General features: G+C 47.4%; 1 protein-coding gene and 1 long non-coding RNA gene across 40 annotated transcripts in view, besides 11 other annotated features; one reads left to right on the top strand and one right to left on the bottom strand.

Moving 5' to 3' along the window:
• ARIH2 (ariadne RBR E3 ubiquitin protein ligase 2) overlaps positions 1-10,732 on the bottom strand; it is a 67,541-nt gene extending 56,809 nt beyond the window's left edge. For 7 of the 39 annotated variants that reach the window (NR_146083.2, NM_001349223.2, NM_001349216.2 and 4 more), the window contains exons 1-3: positions 10,576-10,732; positions 6,763-6,826; positions 1,761-2,112 (exon numbers count right to left, since the gene is read on the bottom strand). Coding sequence is in view for 15 of the 39 variants with exons in the window: in NM_001349214.2 (NP_001336143.1) it covers positions 1,761-2,015 (255 nt within the window). In the remaining 24 variants the exon portion in view is untranslated. Of the gene's footprint in view, positions 1-902; positions 4,857-6,762; positions 6,827-7,105; positions 7,226-10,575 lie in introns of those variants that run through there. The other 32 variants (NR_146085.2, XM_047447278.1, NM_001349227.2 and 29 more) reach the window with 12 other exon arrangements.
• Positions 2,581-2,640: an enhancer, noted in NCBI's record as "active region_19846". NCBI's record gives its function as "activates an Ori minimal core promoter by ATAC-STARR-seq in GM12878 lymphoblastoid cells {active_cell/tissue: GM12878}" and the evidence as "EXISTENCE:reporter gene assay evidence [ECO:0000049][PMID:35858748]".
• Positions 4,414-4,914: an enhancer, noted in NCBI's record as "H3K4me1 hESC enhancer chr3:48962093-48962593 (GRCh37/hg19 assembly coordinates)". NCBI's record gives its function as "activates a minimal SCP1, AML or CMV promoter by ChIP-STARR-seq in primed H9 embryonic stem cells {active_cell/tissue: H9 hESC(primed)}" and the evidence as "EXISTENCE:reporter gene assay evidence [ECO:0000049][PMID:30033119]".
• Positions 4,915-5,415: an enhancer, noted in NCBI's record as "H3K4me1 hESC enhancer chr3:48961592-48962092 (GRCh37/hg19 assembly coordinates)". NCBI's record gives its function as "activates a minimal SCP1, AML or CMV promoter by ChIP-STARR-seq in primed H9 embryonic stem cells {active_cell/tissue: H9 hESC(primed)}" and the evidence as "EXISTENCE:reporter gene assay evidence [ECO:0000049][PMID:30033119]".
• Positions 7,418-7,918: an enhancer, noted in NCBI's record as "H3K4me1 hESC enhancer chr3:48959089-48959589 (GRCh37/hg19 assembly coordinates)". NCBI's record gives its function as "activates a minimal SCP1, AML or CMV promoter by ChIP-STARR-seq in naive H9 embryonic stem cells {active_cell/tissue: H9 hESC(naive)}" and the evidence as "EXISTENCE:reporter gene assay evidence [ECO:0000049][PMID:30033119]".
• Positions 9,602-10,352: an enhancer, noted in NCBI's record as "H3K27ac hESC enhancer chr3:48956655-48957405 (GRCh37/hg19 assembly coordinates)". NCBI's record gives its function as "activates a minimal SCP1, AML or CMV promoter by ChIP-STARR-seq in primed H9 embryonic stem cells {active_cell/tissue: H9 hESC(primed)}" and the evidence as "EXISTENCE:reporter gene assay evidence [ECO:0000049][PMID:30033119]".
• On the top strand, positions 10,189-11,786 carry ARIH2OS (ARIH2 opposite strand lncRNA). The gene has a single exon (NR_161301.1). It is a non-coding gene; the product is annotated as an ARIH2 opposite strand lncRNA (long non-coding RNA).
• Positions 10,353-11,104: an enhancer, noted in NCBI's record as "H3K27ac hESC enhancer chr3:48955903-48956654 (GRCh37/hg19 assembly coordinates)". NCBI's record gives its function as "activates a minimal SCP1, AML or CMV promoter by ChIP-STARR-seq in primed H9 embryonic stem cells {active_cell/tissue: H9 hESC(primed)}" and the evidence as "EXISTENCE:reporter gene assay evidence [ECO:0000049][PMID:30033119]".
• Positions 10,353-11,855: a biological region, named in NCBI's record as "hESC enhancers GRCh37_chr3:48955152-48955902 and GRCh37_chr3:48955903-48956654".
• Positions 10,410-10,489: a silencer, noted in NCBI's record as "silent region_14343". NCBI's record gives its function as "represses an Ori minimal core promoter by ATAC-STARR-seq in GM12878 lymphoblastoid cells {active_cell/tissue: GM12878}" and the evidence as "EXISTENCE:reporter gene assay evidence [ECO:0000049][PMID:35858748]".
• Positions 10,560-10,659: a silencer, noted in NCBI's record as "silent region_14342". NCBI's record gives its function as "represses an Ori minimal core promoter by ATAC-STARR-seq in GM12878 lymphoblastoid cells {active_cell/tissue: GM12878}" and the evidence as "EXISTENCE:reporter gene assay evidence [ECO:0000049][PMID:35858748]".
• Positions 10,830-11,299: an enhancer, noted in NCBI's record as "active region_19845". NCBI's record gives its function as "activates an Ori minimal core promoter by ATAC-STARR-seq in GM12878 lymphoblastoid cells {active_cell/tissue: GM12878}" and the evidence as "EXISTENCE:reporter gene assay evidence [ECO:0000049][PMID:35858748]".
• Positions 11,105-11,855: an enhancer, noted in NCBI's record as "H3K27ac-H3K4me1 hESC enhancer chr3:48955152-48955902 (GRCh37/hg19 assembly coordinates)". NCBI's record gives its function as "activates a minimal SCP1, AML or CMV promoter by ChIP-STARR-seq in naive H9 embryonic stem cells {active_cell/tissue: H9 hESC(naive)}" and the evidence as "EXISTENCE:reporter gene assay evidence [ECO:0000049][PMID:30033119]".

The following is a 25,712-nucleotide window of genomic DNA, read 5'->3' as shown; positions in this document are numbered from 1 at the left end:
TCTTTGGACACAGACCAAAGAAGGCATGGCCACTGTGCTCTAGGGTCTCTCAAGGAAACTCACTCAGAGAAAGCATGAGCTAGACTCTGAGGACTCCTAAGGGCAGTAAGAGATGAGGCGGCGAAGGGAAAGCTTTCCAGGAGGCTGACCATGTATAAGAAGGAAGAATGTAAAACAGTAAATTTTATGTTACATATATTTTACCACAATTAAAAAACAAAAAAAAAAAGGAAGGAAGGAAGGACGGACGGACGGACGGACAGGTGCTTGGGCCCCTCAGCTGTCTCTAGCAGGGCAGAAAAAGCCAGCACAGAGGCTTGACAATCTGAGAATTCTTGTGTATAGACAGGAACATCCTCATGAACTTGGTCAACTGACACTGTCCAGAGCATGGTTACACACTACATAATTCCTAATATTATTTTTTCTAACCTAACATTATGAACATATCCTTTTCTTATTTTAAATACCAACATTGTATATAACCTGACAGTATGACTAAAGCAAAAGAAAACTATTGATCAACAAGGGAGAGGTGTGCATGGTGAGGAAGAGAAACCCGATTATTGTTTTCTACCAGGGAAATGCCCTCTGGAGGCAGGGGTCCAGCAGCTTTGTTATAGCCATAGTGCAGAAATCCCAAACCCAGAGGATCCATAGGTCCTCATTCTTCAGAGTTTTCTGCTCAGCACAAGACAGGAAGTCTACAATCACTTCTAGAAATTAGTCACACAAAAAAAAAAACAACTTAGCTTTCAGCTTCCAGCCAGTTGCTAATAAAGACCTGAGTATCTAAATTCAAGGTATTAGCCTTTGCCAACCATCTGGGGAAAAAAAAAAAAATCCCTAAACTAGTAGATAAAGCAAATTTTATAGAAATCATACAAGGCACACCTTAGTTATTTCTGTTTAAGTTCCAATAAAATTTATTTGGTTGACATCATGCCAAGGTGCCCTTTTGACCTCCAATTTAATCAGAAACAAAATCCAAGTAACAATTCATGAAAAAAGATTAGTGAAAACACTAAAGAGAAATATTTCCAATTTCCCATAATGGCCAGTGTTAGAGAAGGAAACATGCTTGTTGGGAAACTGTCAAAATGATCATAAAAAATGTAAATAGGATAATAACTGGCCTAAGGTACAAGACATCCAAAGGTATGTTTTAGCTTATGTGTTAAATAAAATGCTTGCTGATGGGGTAATCAACTTTGTTCATTCTTTACAATTTCCATACTAACACCCCCTAAATCAATGAAATACAAGCATAAGAAAGAATTATTATTAAAATCAGTACATGAAACAAATGAGCTCATTAGCCCAAAGGCAATGACTATTCAGGGCAAACCAGAGGGATCTGTATACTCTCAAGACATTTATCAGTCACTCACAGTCGTACAGAAGATGGTGATTCTGATGCTTATTGTATCAACCTCATAAAATTCTGAAAACTCACTTCCTGAAACGTGCAAAGTTGTGCAATTCTGCTACTACACATTTCTGGTATGGTACATCTTTCTTGAATCTGTCCCACCCCTACTTTCTAATTCTTACTAATTTGGGAATCTGAGGACCTTAGACATGCATATATTAGAAAACAAAGTAAATGTAACAAAATGTCCAAATGATGTTGACATACACTTAAATTTGGTTTCAAGCTACAAGGCCATTCAATTAGTCTGGAGGAGACATTAATTAACAACAGCTCATCCTTAGATTTAACTGGGGGGGATTACACTGGAGTTTACAACACTGCTCACCTTTAGGACAGAAGCTAAGCTGGTCATGTGCTCATTGAGGGCACCCTCAGATTCCTTGTAGGTCAAGCAAGTGAACTGGTACTCCTCGGGATCAAAGGCATCAGCCCCCTGCTGCTCCACATCGCTGGCTACTCCCACGTAATAGTCCTCTATGTCCCCAGGGTCGTCTTCTTCTTCTTCTTCCTCTTCCTCACAATTTGGGTCATAGTCCTCTTCATTGCTGTCAGACCCCTGGCTATTCATGTCCACTGACATCTTAGCATCCAGCCAAGTTGCAGATCAGGAAAGCAGTTGCTTTTTCCCCCTCCCCCCAAAACTACCGCTTTCTCAAATGCATTAGTATTTTTGTCTTCTAAGGGAGGAAAAAAAAAATAAGTGTTACTTTTTCCCCATGACAAGTTGTAACAGAAACCATTCAAGAATCAAAATGGGACAGTCCTGGCCCTAATCTCACTACAGCCTATTCCAACTCTGGTATCACATGGGGAATCTTACTATCATCCCCCTGGCCCAGGCTTATAAAAGGGAAATCCTTCCCTGGAGAGACAGAAGCAGCTAATAAATGGTAACTTCACATGAAAGGCCTGGCATGACAGGGCAAGGCTGTCTGCTCTATGTCAGAAAGTCAAATTCCAATGAACTTGTTATTCTTGCCAAAGTCCTTAAGGGAGAAGCACATCCCCACAGCTGGCAGCCCAGAGGGGAGGCAACATAAAGGTTTAACTACCAAAGTTTAAAATTTTGCTTATCATGCCCCGTTAGTATTGATACAGACAGTACATAAATAGGAACACTTCCTGCTGTAATATGTAGAAAAAGAAAACCACTGTTTCACAGACATTACTTTTAGGTGTCTGAAAAATAGGTGCATAGTTGGTAAAGAAAAAAAAAACACACATAGGTGTTCAACATCCTCCTCTAGTCTGCAAAGTTGACTGATTTTTCAGGTTTAAAGAGTTCTACTGGCCGGGTGTGGTGACTCATGCCTGTAATCCCAGCACTGTGGGAGGCTAAGGTGGGTGGATCACTTGAGGTCAGGAGTTCAAGACCAGACTGGCCAACATGGCGAAACCCCATCTCTACTAAAAATACAAAATTAGCCAGGTGTGGTGATATGCACCTGTAATCCCAGCTACTCGGGACGCTGAGGCAGGAGAATCACTTTAACCCGGGAGGCAGAGTTTACAGTGAGCCAAGATTGCGCCACTGCACTCTAGCCTGGATGACAAGAGTGAAACTCCATTGGCCGGGTGCGGTGGCTCACGCCTGTAATCCCAGAATTTTGAGAGGCTGAGATGGGTGGGTCACCTGAGGTCAGGAGTTCGAGACCAGCCTGGCTAATATGGTGAAACCCTGTCTCTACTAAAAATACAAAAAAATTAAGCAGGCGTGGTGACAGGCACCTGTAATCCCAGCTACTTGGGAGGCTAAGACAGGAGAAACGCTTGAACCCAGGAGGCGGAGGTTATAGTGAGCTGAGATTGCGCCACTGCACTCCAGCCTGGGCAATAAAAGCGAAACTCCGTCACACACACACGTACACACATACACACACACACACACACACACACGAGGGAAACTCCATCTCAAAAAAGAAAAGCCCGCAAACAGCGAAATGTTACTTAATTACATATAAACGAAAAGAGAATACTAGTTGAGAAAGTGAAACAGTCACAAACCCTAACTTCAACTCACAGAAGATTGTGGCAAACACCCATTAACTTTTCTACACAACTACCATTTCAACTGATGAGCTGAAAGGAACAATATCAACTAGCGATTTAAATCTAAAACTAGGCCAGGTGCGGTGGCTCACGCCTGTAATCCCAGCACTTTGGGAAGCCAAGGCGGGTGGATCACGAGGTCAGGAGATCAAGAGCATCCTGGCCAACGTGGTGAAACCCCATCTCTACTAAAAATACAAAAATTAGCTATACGTGGTGGTGCGTGCGTGTAATCCCCAGCTACTCAGGTGGCTGAGGCAGGAGAATCACTTGAACGAGGGAGTCGGAGGTTGCAGTGAGCCGAGATCCCGCCACTGTACTGCAGCCTGGCAACAGAGTGAGACTCCATCTCAAAAAAAAAAAAAAAATCTAAAACTAATAGAACCTTAAAGTGTAAGAGCATTTGGATTTAACAGTACATAAACAATTTATATAAACAAATCTTGATTAAATACAAAAGCAAATATAAAGTCTACTTGAAGTAGGTAATCTGTCTGAAAAAAAACAACCAACCATAATCTAAAACAAAGACTGAGGGTGTGGCTCACAACTATAATCCCAGAACTTTGGAAGGCTGAGATGAGAGGATCCCTTGAGGCCAGGAGGTCAAGATCCACCTGAACAACCTAGTGAGACCATGTCTCTACAACACATTTAAAAAAAAAAAAAAAGAAATCAGCTGGGCGCGGTGGCTCATGCCTGTAATCCCAGCACTTTGGGAGGCCGAGGCAGGTGGATCACGAGGTCGGGAGATCGAGACCATCCTGGCTAACATGGTGAAACCCCGTCTCTACTAAAAATACAAAAAATTAGCCGGGCATAGTGGCAGGCGCCTGCAGTCCCAACTACTGGGGAGGCTGAGGCAGGAGAATGGTGTGAACCCGGGAGGCGGAGCTTGCAGTGAGCCGAGATCGCGCCACTGCACTCCAGGCTGGGCGACAGAGCGAGACTCCGTCTCAAAAAAAAAAAAAGAAAAAAAGAAAAAAAATCCCGGCACTTTGGGAGACCAAGGTGGCCAGATCACCTGAGGCCAGGAGATTGAGGCCAGCCTAGCCAACATGGCAAAATCCCATCTCTACTAAAAATACAAAAATTAGGCTGGGCGCAGTGGCTCACACCTGTAATCCCAGCACTTTGGGAGGCCGAGGCAGGCAGATCACGAGGTCAGGAGATCCAGACCATCCTGGCTAACACGTGAAACCCCATCTCTACTAACAATACAAAAATTAGCTAGGCATGATGGCATGCACCTGTAATCCCAGCTACTCAGGAGGCTGAGGCAGGAGAACTGCTTGAACTCGGGAGACGGAGGTTGCAGTGAGCAGAGATTGCACCACTGCACTCCAGCCTGGGCAACAGAGCGAGACTCAATCTGAAAAAATAAAAAAATAAAAAATAAAAAATAAATTAGCTTGGCAGGGTGGTGCACACTTGCAATCCCAGCTACTTGGGAGGCTGAGGCAGGAGAATCACTTGAACCAGGGAGGAGGTTGCAGTGAGCCAAGATCATGCCACTGCACTCCAACCTGGGCAAGAGTGAGACACTGTCACACACACAAAAAATAAACAAATAAATAAAATAAGACAGGCATAGCGGTCATGCGTCTGTAGTCCTGGCTACATCGAAGAACTGCTTGGGCCTGGAAGGTCAAGGCTGCAGTGAGATCGTGCCACTGCACTCCAGCCTAGGCAACAGAGAGATTCTGTCTCCAAAAATAATAATAATAATAATAATAATTCAGGTAAATAATCTTCTACTTAAAAAAAAAAGGCCCACGTACAGTGGCTCACATCTGTATCAGTGGCTCACGCCTGTATCATAATCCCCACACTTTGGGAGGCTGAGGCTGGAGGATCATTCAAAACCAGGAGTTCCAAACCAGCCTGGGTAACATAGTGACACTCACGTCTACCAAAAGGAAAAAGAATTTGTAACCAGTCTAAAAGACTATGGAGTACTGAGACATAGTATCACTCTGTCACCCAGTCTGAGATATAAAAACATGATCATGGCCCACTGCAGCTTCCAACTCCTGAGCTCAACAGATCCTCCTGCCTCAGCCTCCTGAGTAACTGGGACTACAGGCATATGCCACCCCCATACCTAATTTTATTTTTTGTATAAACAGGGTTTTACTATGTTGCTCAGGCTGGTTTCAAACTCCTGGCCTCAAGCGATCCTCCTGCGTTGGCCTTACAAAACGCTGGGATTATAGGCAAGAGCCACTGTGCCCAGCCTACAGTCACATTTTTATATAATAAAAATATTGGCGAGGCGCGGTGGCTCACACCTGTAATCCCAGCACTTTGGGAGGCCGAGGCGGGTGGATCACCTAAGGTCGGGGGTTCAAGGCCAGCCTGACCAACATGGAGAAACCCCGTCTCTACTAAAAACACAAAATTAGCTGGGCGTGGTGGCACATGCCTGTAATCCCAGCTACTCAGGAGGTTGAAGCAGGAGAATGGATTGAACCCCGGAGGCAAAGACTGCAGTGAGACAAGATTGCATCATTACACTCCAACCTGGGCAACAAGAGGGAAACTCTATCTTAAAAAAAAAAAAAAACACTCACTATATCTAAGTTGATATGTTAACTATAAATGCTCCCATTTCTAAAAATTAAAAAAAAAACCCTATTAATTGTGGGGCAATAAAAATAATGTTTGCAGTCTGACCTTTTTTTTTTTTTGAGACAGAGTCTCACTCTGTCACCCTGGCTGGAATGCAGTGGCACGATCTCAGCTCACTGCAACCTCTGCCTTCCGGGTTCAAGCAATTCTCCTGCCTCAGTCTCTCAGTAGCTGGGATTACAAGCACATGCCACAATGCCCAGCTAATTTTTTTTGTATTTTTAATAGAGATAAGGTTTCTTTTTTTTTTTTGAGACGGAGTCTCGCTCTGTCGCCCAGGCTGGAGTGCAGTGGCGGGATCTCGGCTCACTGCAAGCTCTGCCTCCCGGGTTCACGCCATTCTCCTGCCTCAGCCTCCCAAGTAGCTGGGACTACAGGCGCCCGCCACTACGCCCGGCTAATTTTTTGTATTTTCAGTAGAGACGGGGTTTCACCGTTTTAGCCGGGATGGTCTCGATCTCCTGACCTCGTGATCCGCCCACCTCAGCCTCCCAAAGTGCTGGGATTACAGATGCAAGCCACTGTGCCTGGCCAGCAGTTTGACTTTTAACAAACTCTTCTGTATGGTAGAGCCACATAATCACAACTAAACTTAACGATGGTGTTTTTTCTTTAGGAGAAAAAGTTAATCTTTAAATTAAAGATACCTGTAATTCTTGGAGATCTCTCAGGCAGATGTCACCCAAGTATTCTACATAATATGATTTCCATCTAAAATGAAAAGAATTATATTTATATTTTTAAAGCTGGTATACTGCTTTTGCAAGTTTATTTTTTTTTTAAAGCAAAGGTATTTTAAAGGACAAGTAACAAGGGACAGAGTAACTATTAAATTAATTATCTTCTTTTAAAGTGCCAACAAAAAAAATCCATGACATAATTATATTGACAAGAGTTACATGACCTTCTAAAAAAAGAAAGTATTCAGCTGGGTGTTGTGGCTCACGCCTGTAATCCCAGCACTTTGGGAGGCCAAGGCAGGTGGATCACCTGAGGTCAGGAGTTCGAGCACCTGTAATCCCAGCTACTCGGAAGGCTGAGGCAGGAGAATCACTCCAACCAGGGAGGCAGAGGTTGCAGTGAGGTGAGATCGCGCCACTGCACTTGAGCCTGGGTGACAAGAAAATTCGTCTCAAAAAAAAAAAAAAGAAAGTAATCTAAGTAAACAGGTAGCAATAATTTAATCTCAATTCTCTCTCTCAGTTTGAAAGACCACTTCTTTTTTTTGTTTGTTTGAGACAGGGCCTCCCTCTGTCACCCAGGTTGGAGTGCAGTGTTGCCATCTCAGCTCACTGTAACCTCCACCTCACCCAGCTGAAAGCCTGCTTCTTTACTCCAGTATTTCTGTCCTTCAGATTCTCAACTACCACAATTTCAATCCTAAATGTTATGTAGATGTTGACCAAGCAAATTGTAACTGACTTAAAATTTAACTTTTACTACAAAATCACCTCCACTGTGGTAATCTAACACAGAATAATGCTAATATTTCAGATCTCACTTTACTCATGCTGTCGTGGCTCATTTATGTCACATTACTCATAAATGTCGTGGTGGTGCATGCCTGTAGTCCCAGCTACTTGGGAGGCTGAGGTGGGAGGATTTCTTGAGCACAGGAGGTTGAGGCTGCAGTGAGCCAAGATCACGCCACTACACTCCAGTCTAGGCGACAGAGTGAGACCCTGTCTTCAAAAAAGAAAAAAAAAAAGAAAAATTCCAGGACCACGTGTGGTGGCTCATGCCAGTAATCCCAGCACTTTGGTTTGGGAGGCCAAGGTGGGTGGACGGCTTCAGCTCAGGAGTTCAAAACAAGCCTGGGCAACATGGTGAAACCTCACTGCTACAAAAAACACAAAAATTAGCCAGGAATGGTGGCGCATACCTGTAATCCCAGCTACTCGGGAGGCTACGGCAGGAGAATTGCTTGATCTGGGAGATGGAGGCTGCAGTGAACCGAGACTGCACCACTGCACTCCAGCCTGGGCAACACAGTGAGACTCCGTGTCAAAAAAAAAAAAAAAAAAAAAGAAATTGCCCACAGGCTTTTCACCAACCAAATATTTAGGTGGGGAAAACTCCAGGCTCCTCCAAAAAAAAAAGAGAGAGAACTCCATTTCATACTAAATGTTCTAGGTGCAGATTTAAATGAAAATTTAATTTTTAATTATCTCAAAGTTAAATACCCAAATTCTACTTGAAAAAGTGGGCCGGGCACGGTGGCTCACGCCTGTGATCCCAACACTTTGGGAGGCTAAGGTGGCAGATCACAAGGTCAAGAGTTCGAGACCAGCCTAATCAACATGATGAAATCCTGTCTCTACTAAAAATACAAAAATTAGCTGGGCGTGGTAGCATGCGCCTATAATCCCAGCTACTCAGGAGGCTGAGGCAGGAGAATCGCTTGAACCCAGGAGGCGGAGGTTGCAGTGAGCCGAGATCGCGCCACTGCACTCCAGCCTGAGAGACAGAGCGGGACTCAAAAATAAAAATAAATAAATGAAAGAAAGAAAAAGTGCTGATCTTGTTCCAAGGGGACAATATTTCTTTTCTTTTCTTTCTTTTTTTTTTTTTTTGAGAGTCTTGCTGGAGTGCAGTGGCGCGATCTCGGCTCACTGGATTACAGGCGCCCGCCACCATGCCTGGCTAATTTTTTGTATTTTTAGTAGAGATGGGGTTTCACCGTGTTAGCCAGGATGGTCTCGATCTCCTGACCTCGTGATCCGCCCGCCTCGGCCTCCCAAAGTGAGGAGGATTATTTGAGTCCAGGAGATTGCAGCGAGCCATGATCACGCCACTGCCCTCCAACCAGCCTGGGTGTAATCCCAGCTGTAATCCCAGCTACTCGGGAGGCTAAGGCAGAACTGCTTGATCTGGGAGATGGAGGCTGCAGTGAACCGAGACTGCACCACTGCACTCCAGCCTGGGCAACACAGTGAGACTCCGTGTCAAAAAAAAAAAAAAAAAAAGAAATTGCTCACAGGCTTCTCACCAACCAAATATTTAGGTGGGGAAAACTCCAGGCTCCTCCAAAAAAAAAAGAGAGAGAACTCCATTTCATACTAAATGTTCTAGGTGCACATTTAAATGAAAATTTAATTTTTAATCATCTCAAAGTTAAATATCCGAATTCTACTTGAAAAAGTGGGCCGGGCACTTTTTCAAAAAAAATTTTTTTAAAGGTCATGCACAGTGGCTCACGCCTGTAATCCCAGCACTTTAGGAGGTCAAACCGGGAGGATAGCTTGAGCCCAGCAGTTCAAGACCAGCTTAGGCAACCTATTAAGATCACGTATCCACAAAAAATTTTACAAATTAGCCAGGTGTGGTGGTACGTGCCTGTGGTCCCAGCTACTTAGGAGGCTAAGAAAGGAGGATCACTTGAGCCCAGAAAGTCGGGGCTGCAGTTAGCTGTGATCGCCGCCACTGCACTCCAGCCTGGTGACAGCAACTTTGTCCCGCCCACCAAAAAAAAAAAAAAAAAAAATTTCCTCCAGAGCCAAAGTCACATGTTCAGGGGACCTAACAACCAACCATCCTGGGCTTGCCCACCACGCACAGAACACGTAAGTTTTAGTGAGTCTGAAGACGTTTACTCCAGATATGATCACTAGCGCTGAATTCAGGTCATTTACTAACTACACCTCCGAAGAAAAACGACTTGGCACAAAACTAGAAATCAGCAATTTCGTTTCAAAATCCTACACTTTGTATCTGTCTTTTCTAATACGGTGACCACTAGCCACATGTGGTTATTTAAATTTAATTACACTTAAAAAGTAAGTAAAATTTAAAATTTAGTTTCTCAGGTGCACTAGCCTACAGGTCAAATGCTTAACGGCCACGTGTGGCTAGTAGCTACCATGCTGAACAGCAAAGGTAAAGAACATGTCGCTATGACAGAAAGTTCTATGGGACCAGGCAATGAACAGTACTAAGGAGAAGTCATCCAAGAACGCGGCTGCCCAACCAGCTTCTGGCGAGGCGGCGGCACAGCTCCGGGGCCGCACATCCCTAGGGGCGCCGCGGGCTCCGGGATATTCGCGCGGACGCGGAGCCCGCGAGCTGGGGATACCCTCCACAGGCGGGCGTTAAACCGCGCGGGCAGCGCTGCGAGAGCTCCCAAAGATGACTCGAGTGGTGAGCCCCGAGGCGGCGCGTTTCCCCGCCGCGCCAGACAGGGAGAGAGGGCCTAGATGTGCCGGCGCCGGTTGGTCAGAGGCGGTGGCCTCTGACCTTTCCGAGAGCTGAGAAGGCGGCGGGAGGAAAAAAGGCAGACACACGCTGGGCGCCCGGCCGCTGACGGCGGGTAATGCTCGGACAACGTGCCGGCGACGGGGAGCGCCCGGGCCTCCCGGGCGACGGCGAAGGCGGAGTCCCGGCCCGGCCAGGGAGGCGCGCGGAGAGGCCCCCCCAGCGGCCAGCCAAGGTAAACAAGGCCGTGACGTGCGCCGCGCACTTACCGGGAGCTGCGGCCTCGCGGCCGCTGAGCCCGAACAAGCCAGACCGGGTCAGGCCGGGCCAGAGGGACCGGATTGGGGCGAAGCGGCAGCGGAGGCGGCGGGCCGACGCCGGTCAAGCCCGCGCTGCTTCCTCCAGAAGAGTCGTCCCCACAGCTCCGGAAGTGCTTGGCGCCGTTGCGTCACTTCCGGATCGGGGTCGACCCACGGTCGCTCGGGTCGCGACAGGCTCCCGGCTAGAGGGCCTGTTTAGCGCCGCCTCCTTGAAACTTAGCGCTCTGACCCAGAGTCTGACCAGGGTACGGCAGGCGCCGACCGCGTCTGGAGCCACTATTCGCCTACCAGCGTCTCCCGTCGAGATGTTTTTAACCAGCGCGTTTCTCACCGGCTTCTCATTTCACTGTTTGTACTCCGGGATCGGGCACGGAGAAGACATCCTGGCGTCAGTGGAGCAGATAACCATTGTTTCTCGGCCGCTATCTGGTCAGAGGGGAGCTGGGCCGGGAAATTCTGCCTACACCCCGAGGCGGTCGCAGGGTGGCCCCAGAGCCGCAACCACACCAGGCTTTCGCTTCCCCTGCCGAGGCCTCGTTCGCCGCGCAGTTCTCCGACTTACGGTCACCGTGCAAGATTGCATCTTAACTGCCTTGCTTGCAGTTTCTTTTCACAGTATAGGAGTTGTCATCATGACTTCCAGTTACCTTCTGGGACCGGTTGTCAAATGATGTGGCTAGAGACGGAGGCTCACTCAGATTGTTGCTGCACCACAATGGAAATGCCAGTATGAAGCCGCTGATGTTAGGAAGGCTCCAGGTTGTGCAATTCCATAGACAACAAATCAAATCATTTCCAACCATACTGGAGTCGCGTATATACATATTCAAGACACCTGTGCAGGCCGGGCGCGGTGGCTCAAGCCTGTAATCCCAGCACTTTGGGAGGCCGAGGCGAGTGGATCACGAGGTCAGGAGATCGAGACCATCCTGGCTAACACGGTGAAACCCCGTCTGTACTAAAAGTACAAAAAAATTAGCCGGACGTGGTGGCGGGCGCCTGTAGTCCCAGCTACTCGGGAGGCTGAGGCAGGAGAATGGCGTGAACCCGGGAGGCGGAGCTTGCAGTGAGTCGAGATGGCGCCACTGCACTCCAGCCTGGGCGACAGAGCGAGACTCTGTCTCAAAATAAAATAAAATAAAATAAAAAATAAAACAAATAAAGACACCTGTGCTGGCTGGTCGCTGTGGCTCATGCCTGTAATCCCTGCACTTTGGGAAGCCGAGGTGGGAGGATCGCTTGAGCCCAAGAATTTGATGTAGTGAGACCCCCCTCCTTTCTACAAAAAAATTAAAAATTAGCTGGGCGAGGTGGCACACACCTGTGCATCCCAGCTACTCAGGGGGCTGAGGTGATATAGGATCGCTTGAGCCGAGGAGGTCGAGGCTGCAGAGTGCCAAGATCGCACCACTGCAGTCCAGCATCGGTGATAGAAGGAGACCCTGTCTCAAAACAACAATAACAAACCATACAATGTAGAAAGCCATTAAAAATCATGCCGCGTGGCCGGGCACCGTGGCTCACGCCTGTAATCCCAGCACGTTGGGAGGCCGGAGCCGGCAGATCACGAGGTCAGGAATTCGAGACTGGCCTGACCAGCATGGTGAAACCCTGTCTCTACTAAAAATTTACAAAATTTGCCGGGCGTGATGGTGGGCGCCTGTAGTCCCAGCTACTCGGGAGGCTGAGGCAGGAGAATTGCTTGAACTCGGCAGGCGGAGGTTGCAGCGAGCAGAGATCGCGCCACTGCACTCCAGCCTGGGGGACAGAGCGAGACTCTGTCTCAAACAACAACAACAACAAAAACCTTGTCGGGTGGACTGCTCTGCCTATGGAGTAGCAATTACTTTTTTTTTTTTTTTTTTGAGACGGAGTCTCGCTCTGTCGCCCAGGCTGGAGTGCAGTGAGAGAGCCGCTATCTCCGCTCACTTCAACCTCCGCTTCCTGGGTTCAAGTGATTCTCCTGCCTCAGTCTCCCGAGTAGCTGGGACTACAGGCGCGCACCACCGCGCCCAGCTAATTTTTTTTTTTTTTTTTTTTTTTTGACGGAGTCTCTCTCTGTTGCCCAGGCTGGAGTGCAGTGGCGCGATCTAGGCTCACTGCAAGCTCCGCCTCCCGGGTTCACGCCATTCTCCTGCCTCAGCTTCCCGAGTAGCTGGGACTACAGGCGCCCGCCACCACGCCTAATTTTTTTTGTATTTTTAGTAGAGACGGGGTTTCACCGTGTTAGCCAGGATGGTAATTTTTGTATTTTTAGTAGAGACAAGGTTTCATCATGTTGGCCAGGATGGTCTGGATCTCTTGACTCCTTGATCCGCCCACCTCGGCCTCCCAAAGTTCTGGGATTACAGGCGTGAGCCACTGCTCCTGGTCTCCTTTGTTTCTTTACTTCTCTAATAAACTTGCTTTCACTTTACCAAAAAAAATGAAATAAATCATACTGGGTGGCAGGGCATGGTGGCTCAAGCCTGTAATCCCAGCACTTTGGGAAGCCAAGGTGAGAGGATTGCTTGAGCCCAGGAGTTGGAGACCAGCCTGGGCAACATAGTGAGATTCCATGTCTACAAAAAAAAGAAAAAGTTTTGGCCAGGTGTGGTGGCTCACGCCTGTAATCCCAGCACTTTGGGAGGCTGAGGCAGGTGGATCACTTGAGCCTAGGAGTTCAAGACCAGCCTGAGCAACATGGTGAAACCCCGTCTCTACAAAAAATACAAGTTAGCTGGATGTGCTTATAGCTCCACCTACTTGGGAGGCTGAGGTGGGAGGATCACTTAAGACCCAGGATGTGGAGGCTGCAGTGAGCAAGAGATCGGGCTACTGCACTCCAGCCTGGGGGACAGAGCCAGAACCTGTCTTCAAAAAAAGAAAAAAAAATGCTGTACTAAGGCACCTATTGACAAGGAAAGGTTATTTGTGATATACTCAAGTGATAAGAATAGGATAGGGGCCGGGTGTGGTGGCTCACACCTGTAATCCCAGCACTTTGGGAGGTGGAGGCGGGCGGATCGCCTGAGGTCAGGAGTTCCAGACCGGCCTGACCAACATGGCAAAACCCTGTCTCTACTAAAAAATACAAAAATTAGCCAGGCATGGTGGTGCATGCCTGTAATTCCAGCTACTCGGGAGGCTGAGGCAGGGAGAATAACTTGAACCCGGGAGGCGGAGGTTGCAGCGAGCCGAGATTGCACCACTGCACTCCAGCCTGGGCAACACAGTAGCTCTGTCTCAAAAAAGAAAAAGTAAATAAAATATGAATGCATATAAAATATACAAAGTCTCTCATGGTTTCTTTGGAACAGGAATCCAGACAAGCCACAATGGGAAGGTTTATCTCAGCTCCACAGCTGAGGGGGCCTCAGCAAGAAGACTCAAAGACTGGGGAGTGGAATCATAGGCAAAGTTGTTTACTCATACTTCTGGTGGGTGATGTCAGCTGGGGGCCTAGCTGGGGCTGTCAGCCAGAACATACACATGCATGATCTCTCCATGTGGCCTGTGCTTCCTGGTAACATGGTGGCTGGATTTGAAGGGCAAAGGTCTTTTTTTTTTTTTTTTTGAGACAGAGTATCACTCTATCGCCCAGGCTGGAGTGCAGTGGCATGATCTCAACTCACTGCAACCTCCTGGGTTCAAGTGATTCTTGTGCCTCAGCCTCCATAGTAGCTGAGATGTCAGGATGACAGGCGTGCACACCATGTTCAGCTATTTTTTCTGTTTTTTTTTCTTTGAGATGGAATTTTGCTCTTGTTGCCCAGGCTGCAGTACAATGGTGCGATCTCGGCTCACCACAACCTCCGCCTCCCGGATTCAAGCAATTCTCCCCGCTCAGCCTCCCAGGTAGCTAGGATTACAGGCATGCACCACCATGCCTGGCTAATTTTGTATCTTTAGTAGAGACGGGGTTTCTCCATGTTGGCCAGGCTGGTCTTGAACTCCTGACCTCAAGCCATCTGCCTGCCTCGGTCTCCCGAAGTGCTGGGATTACAGATGTGAGCTGCCAGGCCCAGTCAATTTTTGTATTTTTAGTAGAAATGGGATTTCACTGCCAGGCGCGGTGGCTCACACTTGTAATCCCAGCACTTTGGGAGGCCGAGACGGGCAGATTGCCTGAGGTCGGCAGTTCGAAACCAGCTTGCCCAACATGGTGAAACCCCGTCTCTACTAAAAAATACAAAAATTAGCCGGGCTTGGTGGTGGGCACCTGTAATCCCAGCTACTTGGGAGGCTGAGGCAGGAGAATTGCTTGAACCTGGGAGGTGGAGGTTGCAGTGAGCCAAGATCGCGCCACTCGTGCCACTGCACTCCAGCCTGGGCGACAAAGTGAGACTCTGTCTCGAGAAAAAAAAAAAAAAAAGAAAGAAATGGGGTTTCACCATGTTGGCCAGGCTGGTCTAGAACCCCTGGTCTCTAGTGATTTGCCTGTCTCAGCTTCCCAAAATTCTGGGATAACAGGTGTGAGCCACTCTGGCCGGCCAAGGGCAAGGGTCTTAAGAGAGTGAGAGCCAAGTGGAAGCCATGTTGCCCTTTGTGGCCTAACCTTCAAAGTCACACGGCATTACATCTGCCACATTTTATTAGTCAAAGCAGTTACAAAGATCCTCTCAGGTTCAAGGGGAGGGAATGCAGCTCCACCGTCAATGGAGAAACACCAACACTGCATTATAAGCAAAGCATATAAAATGAGATACAGGTTGGTGTAGCCATTTTTGGAAAATATGTGTCACAAAGCACATATTGCATATATCAGTATATCTCTCATCTTATTCATCTTTGTTTTTATTGAATTTAATTATGCAACTAATGTAATGATAACATGAAGTTGTAAAAATGTAATACAAGAATACTGATAGCAGCTTGTGAATACTCCCGTTAATATACTCCACCTTTCTTTTCTCCTATTTGGGGTTGTTGCCACTGTCCAGAGTTTGGTGTGCATCCTTCTAGGACACTTTCTATGCATCTAAATACAGTACATGTCGGCCGGGTGCAGTGGCTCATGCCTGTAATCCCAGCACTTTGGGAGGCCGAGGCAGACGGATCATGAGGTCAGGAGTTCGAGAACAGCCTGACCAACATAGTGAAACCCTGTCTCTACTAAAAATACAAAAATTAGTCAGGCATGGTGGCACATGCCTGTAATCCCAGCTACTCAGGAGGCTGAGGCAAGAGAATTGCTTGAACTCGGGAGGCAGAGGTTGCAGTGAGCCGAGATCGCTCCACTGTACTCCAGCCTGGGCAACAGAACAAGACTCTGTCTCAAAAAAATAAAAATAAAAAATAAATAAATAAATTCAGTGTATGTCTATATTTATAGCTACCCACACACACATTTACACAAAGCTTTTCATTAGTAACCTTTTCATTAGTAGCAGGCTATTGCAAATATCATTCTGCTGCTTTTTTCACTTAGTAGAAGCTGCTATTATTATCCCCATTTCACAAACAAGTGATCAAACTAAAGTACTTTTTTTTTTTGAGACGGTGTCTAGCTCTATTGCCCAGGCTGGAGTGCAGTGGCACAATCTTGGCTGACTGCAACCTCCACCTACCGGGTTCCAGCGATTCTCCTGCCTCAGCCTCCCATGTAGCTGGGATTACAGGCACGCACCACCATGCCTGGCTAATTTTTGTATTTTTAGTAGAGACAAGGATTCACCATGTTGGTCAGGCTGGTCTCGAACTCCTGACCTAAAGTGATCCACCAACCTCTGCCTCCCAAAGTGCTGCAATTACAGGCATGAGCCACCATGCCCATCCAAGCTAAGATTCTAACCCCAGGCATCTGAATCCAGAGCCTACCCTTTTGACAGTGCTGTAACCCTTCTGAGTATATAACAGTATAAATGTATTATATTTGAGCAGTCTCCAATTGCAAGTCATCTGTTTCCAATTTTGTTTTGTTTTGAGATAGAGTCTTACTCTGTCACCCAGGCTGGAGTGCAGTGGCGCTATATCGGCTCACTGCAACTTCCGCCACCCAGGTTCAAGCAATTCTCCTGCCTCAGCCTACCGAGTAGCTGGGACTACAGGTGCATGCCACCATGCCTGGCTAATTTTTGTATTTTTAGTAGAGATGGCGTTTCAGCACATTGGGCAGGTTGGTCTCGAACTCCTGACCTTGTGATCCACCCGCCTCAGCCTCCCAGTGCTGGGATTACAGGCGTGAGCCACTGTGCCCGGCTATCTGTTTCCAATTTTTCACAATTATAAAGAGTGTTTCAGTGAACACCCTTGGATGTAGTCCTTTTTTTTCCCTTTTCTTTCTTTCTTTCTTTTTCTTTTTCTTTTTTTTTTTTTTGAGACAGAGTTTCGCTCTTGTTGCCCAGGCTGGAGTGCAATGGCATGATCTCAGCTCACCACAACCTCTGCCTCCCGGGTTCAAGCGATTCTCCTGTCTCAGCCTCCGGAGTAGCTGGGATCACAGGCATGCACCACCATGCCCAGCTAATTTTGTATTTTTAGTAAAGACAGGGTTTCTCCATGTTGGTCAGGCTGGTCTCGAACTCCCAACCTCAGGTGATCCACCCGCCTAGGCCTCACAAAGTGTTGTGATTACAAGTGTGAGCCACCGTGCCTGGCCCTCTTTTTTCTTTTGAGATGTAGTCTCTCTCTGTCACCCAGACTGGAGTGCAGTGGTGCAGTCACTGCAGCCTCAATCTCCTGGGCTCAAGTGATTCTCCTGCCTCAGCCTCCCAAGTAGCTGGGACTATTATAGGCATGCACCACCATGCCTGGAGAATTTTTTTTTAATAGATATGGGGTCCCATTATATTGCCCAGGCTGGTCTCAAACCGCTGGGCTCAAGCAATTCTCCTGCCTTGGCCCCACAAAGTGGTGGGATTATAGGTGTGAGCCACAGCCTGTAGTTCTTTTTGCATAGTTGTGAACACGTTTTTGATTTTATTTCTAGAAATGGAAATAGAGGAATTGCTCAGTCAACTCCTATGCTCATTTTACATTGTAATGGATACTGCCAAATCACATTTCTTTTTTTTTTTTTTTTTTTTTGAGATGGAGTCTCGCCCTGTCACCCAGGCTGGAGTGCAGTGGCGCGATCTCGGCTCACTGCAAGCTCCACCTCCTGGGTTCACACCATTCTCCTGCCTCAGCCTTCCGAGTAGCTGGGGCTACAGGCGCCTGCCACCATGCCTGACTAATTTTTTTGTATTTTTAGTAAAGACGGGGTTTCACCCTGCTAGCTAGGATGGTCTCCATCTCCTGACCTCGTGATCCGCCCACCTCAGCCTCCCAAAGTGCTGGCATTACAGGCGTGAGCCACCACGCCCAGCCCAAATCACATTTCTTAAATGCTTTGTTCTTTCAGACTGGTTAAAGGCCAGGCACCAAGTTGTTATAGATGGTAAGTAAAGAGGACCACAATATCTGTGGTCAAGGAGCTTTGTTCTAATAGGAGATGCAGAAATTAGTAGAATAATTCAACAATAAGTATCAAATTACCACTGTGAGTGCACTGGATGGAAATACAAGAAAAATAAAAATAAAAATTATCACCGTGAGCCGGACACGGTGGCTCATGCCTGTAATTCTAGCACTTTGGGAGGCTGAGGTGGGCGGATCACGAGGTCAGGAGATCAAGACCATCCCGGCTAATACCGTGAAAACCCGTCTCTACTACAAATAATAAAAAAAAAAAAATTAGCCCGGCGTGGTGGCAGGCGCCAGCTACTTGGGAGGCTGAGGCAGGAGAATGGCGTGAACCCGGGAGGCGGAGCTTGCAGTGAGCCGAGATCGCGCCACTGCATTCCAGCCTGGGCAACAGGGTGAGACTTCGTCTCAAAAAAAAAAAAAAAAAAAAAAAAATTATCACCGTGAGGAGTGCTGCATAGGAGAGTTGGTAGACTCAATCCTCAGCCTCTCTTCCATCTACGCTCCTTCCCCAGTGATCTCATTCAACCTCTTTGCCTTAGGACCTCCCGTATACTGATGACTTCCAGGTTTTCATTTCTAATCCTACCAAATTTCCTATACTTCACACTCAGTATATGCAGTTGTCCATTCAATACCTCCATTTGGATGTCATATCGGCACTCGAATTTAACATGTCTTAAATAAAACAAAATTCTCAAATTTACCTCCAAACCTGCCACTCCCCCAATATTTCCCAGCTCAATACCACTCTCTCTCCATTTACTCAGGCCAAAAATTCACAAATTTGGCCAGGCATGGTGGCTCACGCCTGTAATCCCAGCACTTTGGGAGGCCGAGGTGGGCAGATCACCTGAGGTCAGGAGTTCAAGACCAGCCTGGCCAAGATAGCAAAACCCTGTCTCTACTAAAAATACAAAAATTAACTGGGCATGGTGGTGGGCACCTGTAATCCCAGCTACTCGGGAGGCTGAGGCAGGAGAATTGCTTGAACCCAGGAGGTTGCAGTGAACCAAGATTGCACCACTGCACTCCAGCCTGGGCGACAGAGCAAGACTCTGTCTCAAAAAAAAAAGAAAGAAAGAAAAAACAAATCACAAGTTTTCCATGAGCTTTCCTCTTCCAAATTTCACATTCAGTCCACAAGCAATTCCCATGAGCTATACCTCTGAGATATGTCCTGACTTTAGCACTTACCACTACCTGCAGCTCTATTCCAAGCCACCCTCAATGTGTCTTTGGATGTGAGCAGTAGTCCCTTAACTAGTCGCCCTGCTTTAAAATATTTTTTACTTTTGTAGAGACAGGATCTCACTCTGTCACCCATGTTGGAGTGCAGTACATTTTATTATTTATTTACTTATTTATTTATTTTTATTTTTCGAGGCAGAGTTTTGCTCTTGCCGCCCAGGCTGGAGTGCAATGGTACAATCTCGACTCACTGCAACCTCCACCTCCCAGGTTCAGGCGATTCTCCTGCCTCATTCTCCCGAGTAGCTGGGACTACAGGCATGCACCACCATGCCTGGCTAATTTTGTATTTTTAGTAGAGATGGTGTTTCGCCATGTTTGCCAGGCTGGTCTCAAACTCCTGACCTCAGGTAATCTTCCCACCTTGGCCTCCTAAAGTGCTGGGATTCCAGGCGTGAGCGACCGTGCCCGGCCCAGTACATTTTATTTTTATTCTTTTTTTAAAAAAGATTTATTTTTTTCAAGATAGAAGGTGGGATTTTTCTTTTTTTTTTTTTTTTTTGAGACGGAGTCTCGCCCTGTTGCCCAGGCTGGAGTTCAATGGCATGATCTTGGCTCACCGCAACCTCTGCCTCACAGATTCAAGCGATTCTCCTGCCTTAGCCTCCTAAATTGCTGGGATTACAGGCGCCTGCCACCACGCCCGGCTAATTTTTGTTATTTTTAGTAGACATGGGTTTTCACCATGTTGGCCAGGCTGGTCTGGAACTCCTGACCTCAGGTGATCCACCCACCTCAGCCTCCCAAAGTGCTGGGATTATGGGTGTGAGCCACCTCAGGAGATCAAGACCAGCCTGGCCAACCTGGCAAAACCCCGTCTCTACTAAAAATACAAAATTAACGGGCGTGGTGGCACATGCCTGTAATCCCAGCTACTCGGGAGGCTGAGGCAGGAGAATCGCTTGAACCTGGGATGCAGAGGTTGCGGTGAGCCAAGATTACACTATTGCACTTCAGCCTAGGCAACAAGAGCGAAACTCTGTCTCAAAAAATATATATATTTTTAAAGTACAAAACATATCATTTTTCTTTTCAACATCCTCTAAAGCTCTATCACAAGCTTTGGCCTTACGGACCAACAAAGCGTAGTCTAGAGCCAGACAGCTAGGATTAGAAACCCTTGACCGGGTACAGTGGCTCATGCCTGTAATTCCAGCACTTCAGGAAGCTGAGGTGGGATGATTGCTTGAGTCCAGGAGTTCGAGACCACCCTGGGCAACATAGGGATACCCTGTCTCAAAAATAATTAATTAATCAAAATTGAGGCTTGGGAGAGTGGGTCACTCCTGTAATCCCAGCACTTTGGGATGCCAAGACAGGAGGATCACTTGAGCTCAGGAGTTCAAGACTAGCCTTGGCAACATAGGGAAACCCCATCTCTACAAAAAATACAAAAAGTAACCTCGGCCGGGACGGTGGCTCATGCCTATAATCCTAGCACCTTGGGAGGACAAGGCAGGTGGATCACCTGAAGTCAGGAGTTTGAGACAAGCCTGGCCAACATGGTGAAACCCTGTCTCTACTAAAAATACAAAAATTAGCCAGGCGTGGTGTCGGGTATTTGTAATCCCACCTACTCAGGAGGCTGAGGCAGGAGAATCGCTTGAACCTGGGAGGCAGAGGTTGCAGTGAGCTGAGATTGTGCCACTGCACTCCAGCCTGGGTGACAAGAGCAAAACTCCATCTCAAAAAAAAAAAAAAAAATTAACCAGGCATGGTGGTGCACACCTGTAGTCCCAGCTACTAGTGGGGCTGAGATGGGAGAATGGCTTCAGCTCAGGAAGTGGAGGTTGCAGTGAGCTGAGATTGTGCCACTGCACTCCAGCCTAGGTGACAGAGCAAGACCCTGTCTCAAAAAAATAAAACTAAAATTAAAATAATACTTTAAAGAGAATCCCAACTCCACATCTTCCTGTCCATGTGACCTTGGGCAGGGAACCTTAACCTCTCTGTGACTTAGTTTGCTCATTTGTGAAATTAGGAGAATAATAGCAGCCTCTACTGAGTGAAAAAAGCAAACTGGTATTTACAATATAGCCTTTTATCAATGAAAACAGTTTGTGTAAGTGTGTGTGTAGGTGTGTATAGCTGTATATATAAATATGTATGTTAACTCATTGAAAGGGCCCTGAAAGATATGTACAAAATGCTAATATTTTATTTATTGATTTATTTAATTTTTTTCTGAGGCCTAGCCTAGGAGACAAGCCTAGGTAACAGAGCAAGACCCTGTCTCAAAAGACCCTAGGTGATGCTCTGTCACCTAGGCTGGAGTGCAGTGGTGCTATCTTGGCTCACTGCAACCCCTGCCTCCTGGGTTAAAGCAATACTACCTCAGCTGGGCACAGTGGCTCACGCCTGTAATCCCAGCACTTTGGGAGGTTGAGGCGGAAAGATCACCTGAGGTAAGGAGTTCAAGACCAGTCTGGCCAACATAGTGAAACCCCATCTTTACCAAAAAATACAAAAATTAGCCAGGCGTGGTGGCACGTGCCTGGAGTCCTGGTTACTTGGGGGAGCTGAGACAGAAGAATCACTTGAACCTGGGAGGCGGAGGTTGCAGTGAGCCAAGATCCTGCTACTGCATTCCAGCCTGGGGGAAAGAGTGAGCCTCTTTCTAAAAAAAAAAAAAAAAAAAAAAAAAGCAATCCTGCCTCAGTCTCCCATGGATTTGTTATCTGGGCTCTTCGTTCTGTTTTGAAGGTCTGTTTGCCTATTCCCAGTCCAATACTACAATGTTTTAATTTCAGCTTCATGGTTTCTTTTTTAAAAATTGTTTTCTATTTTATTTATTTATTTATTTTATTTTTGAGATGGAATCTTACTCTGTCACCCAGGCTGAAGTGCAGTGGCACGATCTCAGCTCACTGCAATCTCTACCACCTGGGTTCAAGCAATTCTCCTGTCTCAGCCTCCCAAGTAGTTGGGAATACAGGCACCCGCCACCATGCCAGGCTAATTTTTATATTTTTAGTAGAGACAGGGTTTCACCATGTTGGCCAGGCTGGCCTCACACACCCAACCTCAAGTGATCCGCCTGCCTCGGCCTCCCAAGGTGCTGGAATTACAGGCATGAGCCACCGTACCCGGCCAATTTTTTATTTAGAGATGCAGTCTCGCTCCGTCACCCAGGCTGGAGTGCTCTGGTGTGATCTCGGCTCACTGTAACCTCCACCTCCCGAGTTCAAGCAATTCTCCTGCTTCAGTCTCCCGAGTAGCTGGGACTACAGGCGGGTGCCACCATGTCCCGCTACTTTTTGTATTTTTAGTAGAGATGGGTTTTCGCCATGTTGCCAGGCTGGTCTCGAATTCCTTACCTCAGGTGATCCACACGCCTCGGCCTCCTAAAGTGCTGGGATTACAGGTGTGAGCCACCATGACTGGCCGGTTTCTTTTTGCTGTATGGTAGAACAAGATGCCTTCGTTGATTTTTTTTCTTTCAATCAGCTTTCTCAGGTTGAAGCCCTTATTGGTCTTTTTCAAAAATTTCTGGCCAGGCGCAGTGGCTCACGCCTATAATCCCAGCACTTTGGGAGGCCGTAGGTGGGCAGATTCACGAGGTCAGGAGATCGAGACCATCCTGGCTAACATGGTGAAACCCCGTCTCTACTAAAAATACAAAAATTAGTTGCCACTGCACTCCAGCCTGGCGACAGAGCAAGACTCCGTCTCAGAAAAAAAAAAAATTTCTTAGACAATCTCATACAAAAAAAAAAAAATTAGCCAGGCGTGGTGGCGGGCACCTGTAGTCCCAGCAACTTGGGAGGCTGAGGCAGCAGAATGGCGTGAACTCGGGAGGCAGAGTTTGCAGGGAGCTGAGATCGTGCCACTGCACTCCAGCCTGGGCGTCAGAGTGAGACCCCATCTCAAAAAAAAAAAAAAACCCTTAGATTCAGTTTGATGTTTTGTTTTGTTTTTTGTATTTTGTTTTGGCAATGGAGTCTCACTCTGTTACCCAGGCTGGAGTGCAGTGGCACAAACACGACTCACTACAACCTCAACATCCTGGGCTCAAGGGATCCTCCCACCTCAGCCTCATGAGTATCTGGGACCACAGACATGCATAACCATGCCAGGTTAATTTTTTTTTTTTTTTTGAGACGGAGTCTCGCTCTGTCGCCCAGGCTGGAGTGCAGTGGCGCGATCTCGGCTCACTGCAAGCTCCGCTTCCCGGGTTCACGCCATTCTCCTGCCTCAGCCTCCCGAGTAGCTGGGACTACAGGCGCCCGCTACCACGCCCAGCTAATTTTTTGTATTTTTAGTAGAGACGGGGTTTCACCGTGTTAGCCAGGATGGTCTCGATCTCCTGACCTCGTGATCCACCCGCCTCGGCCTCCCAAAGTGCTGGGATTACAGGCGTGAGCCACCGCGCCCGGCCAATTTTTTTTTTTTTCCTTTTGAGATGGGGTTTGGCTCTTGTCTCCCAGGCTGGAGTGTAATGGTGCGATCCTGGCTCACTGCAACCTCCGCCTCCCATTTTCAAAGGATTCTCCTGCCTCAGCCTCCAGAGCAGCTGGGATTACAGGCATCCGCCACCACGCACAGCTAATTTTTGTATTTTTTAGTAGAGACAAGGTTCCACCATGTTAGCCAGGCTTTTCTTGAACTCCTGACCTCAGGCGATCCGCCCGCCTCAGCCTCCCAAAGTGCTGGGATTACAGGCGTGAGCCACCTCTCCCAGCCAATTTTTTTTTTTTTTTTTTTTTTGTAGAGACGAGGTCTCACTATGTTGTCCAGGCTGGTCTCGAACTCCTAGTCTCAGGCTATCCTCCCGCCTTGGCCTCCCAATGTGCTGGGATTACAGGGGATGAGCCACCACACCTGGCCATGTTTCTTTTTTTTATTGTTTTTTATTTTTGTAGAGACAGGATCTCACACTCCCATCCAGTCTAGAGGACAGTGACATTTTATTTTTTATCCTTTTTGTTTTTTAAAAATTAATGTTTTCTGGGCTTGGCGCGGTGGCTCACGCCTGTAATCCCAGCACTTTGGGAGGCTGAGGCAGGCAGATCACAAGGTCAGGAGTTCAAGAGCAGCCTGGCCAACATGGTGAAACCCTGTCTCTACTAAAAATACAAAAATTAGCCTGGCGTAGTGGCACCCGTCTGTAATCCCAGCTACTCGCCAGACTGAGGCAGGAGAATTGCTTGAACCCGGCAGGCGGAGGTTGCGGTGAGCCGAGATCTGGCCATTGCACTCCAGCCTGGGAAAAAGGAGCAAGACGTCGTCTCAAAAAAAAAAAAATTTAATGTGTTTTTCAAATAAGAAAGTGGAGGAGGCTGGGCACAGTGGCTCACGCCTGTAATCCCAGCACTTTGGGAGGCTGAGGTGGGCGGATCAGGAGGTCAAGAGTTGGAGACCAGCCTGGCCGACATGATGAAACCCGTCTCTACTACAAATACAAAAAGTAGCTGGGCGTGGTGGCGAACGCCTGTAATCCCAGCTACTTGGGAGGCTGAGGCAGGAGAATCCTGTGAACCCGGGAGGCAGAGGTTGCAGTGAGCCCAGATGTCGCCATTGCACTCCAGCCTGGGTGACAGGGCGAGAGTCTGTCTCAAAAAAAAAAAAAAAAAAAAGAAAAGAAAAAGAAAAAGAAAGTGAAAGCTTGGCCAGGTGCAGTGGCTCATGCCTGTAATCCCAGCACTCTGGGAGGCAGACATGGGTAGATCATGAGGTCAGGAGATCGAGACCATCCTGGCTAACATGGTGAAACCTTGTCTCTATTAAAAATACAAAAAATTAGCTGGGCGTGGTGGCAGGCACCTGTAGTCCCAGCTACTCAGGAGGCTGAGGCAGAAGAATTGCTTGAACCCGGGAGGTGGAGGTTGCAGTGAGCCGCGATCGCGCCACTGCACTCCAGCCTGGGCTACAGAGCAAGACTGTCTCAAAAAATAAAAATAAAGAAGAAAGTGGAGGCTGGGCACGGTGGCTCATGCCTGTAATCCTAGCACTTTGGAAGGCTGAGGCAGTTGGATCACTTGAGGCCAGGAGTTTGAGACCAGCCTGGCCAAGATAGTGAAACCCTATTTCTACAAAATACAAAAATTAGCCGGATTTGGTGGTGCATGCCTGTAGTCCCAGCTACTCAGGAGGCTGAGGCAGGAGAATCGCTTGAACCCAGGAACTGGAGGTTGCAGTGAGCCAAGATCACACCACTGCACTCAGCCTGGGTGTTGGAGTGAGATTCTAAGGAAAAAAAAAGTTGCCAGGTGCGGTGGCTCACGCAGAGGTTGCAGTGAGCCGAGATCACGCCACTGCACTCCAGCCTGGGCAACAGAGCCAGACTCCGTCTCAAAAAAAAAAAAAAAAAAAAAGCCAATTTTTTTTTTTTTTAAAGATGTGGGGGGGTCTTGCCATGTTTCCCAGACTGGTCTTTAACTTGAGAATTGCTCAAGCAATTCTCCTATCTTAGGATCCCAAAGTGCTGGAATTACAGGCCTGAGCCACCA

Source organism: Homo sapiens, chromosome 3, assembly GCF_000001405.40.
Source record: "Homo sapiens chromosome 3, GRCh38.p14 Primary Assembly".
Lineage (NCBI taxonomy): Eukaryota > Metazoa > Chordata > Mammalia > Primates > Hominidae > Homo > Homo sapiens.
The sequence above is the reverse complement of the archived record's forward strand: the minus strand, read 5'-3'. Positions and strand labels throughout refer to the sequence as shown.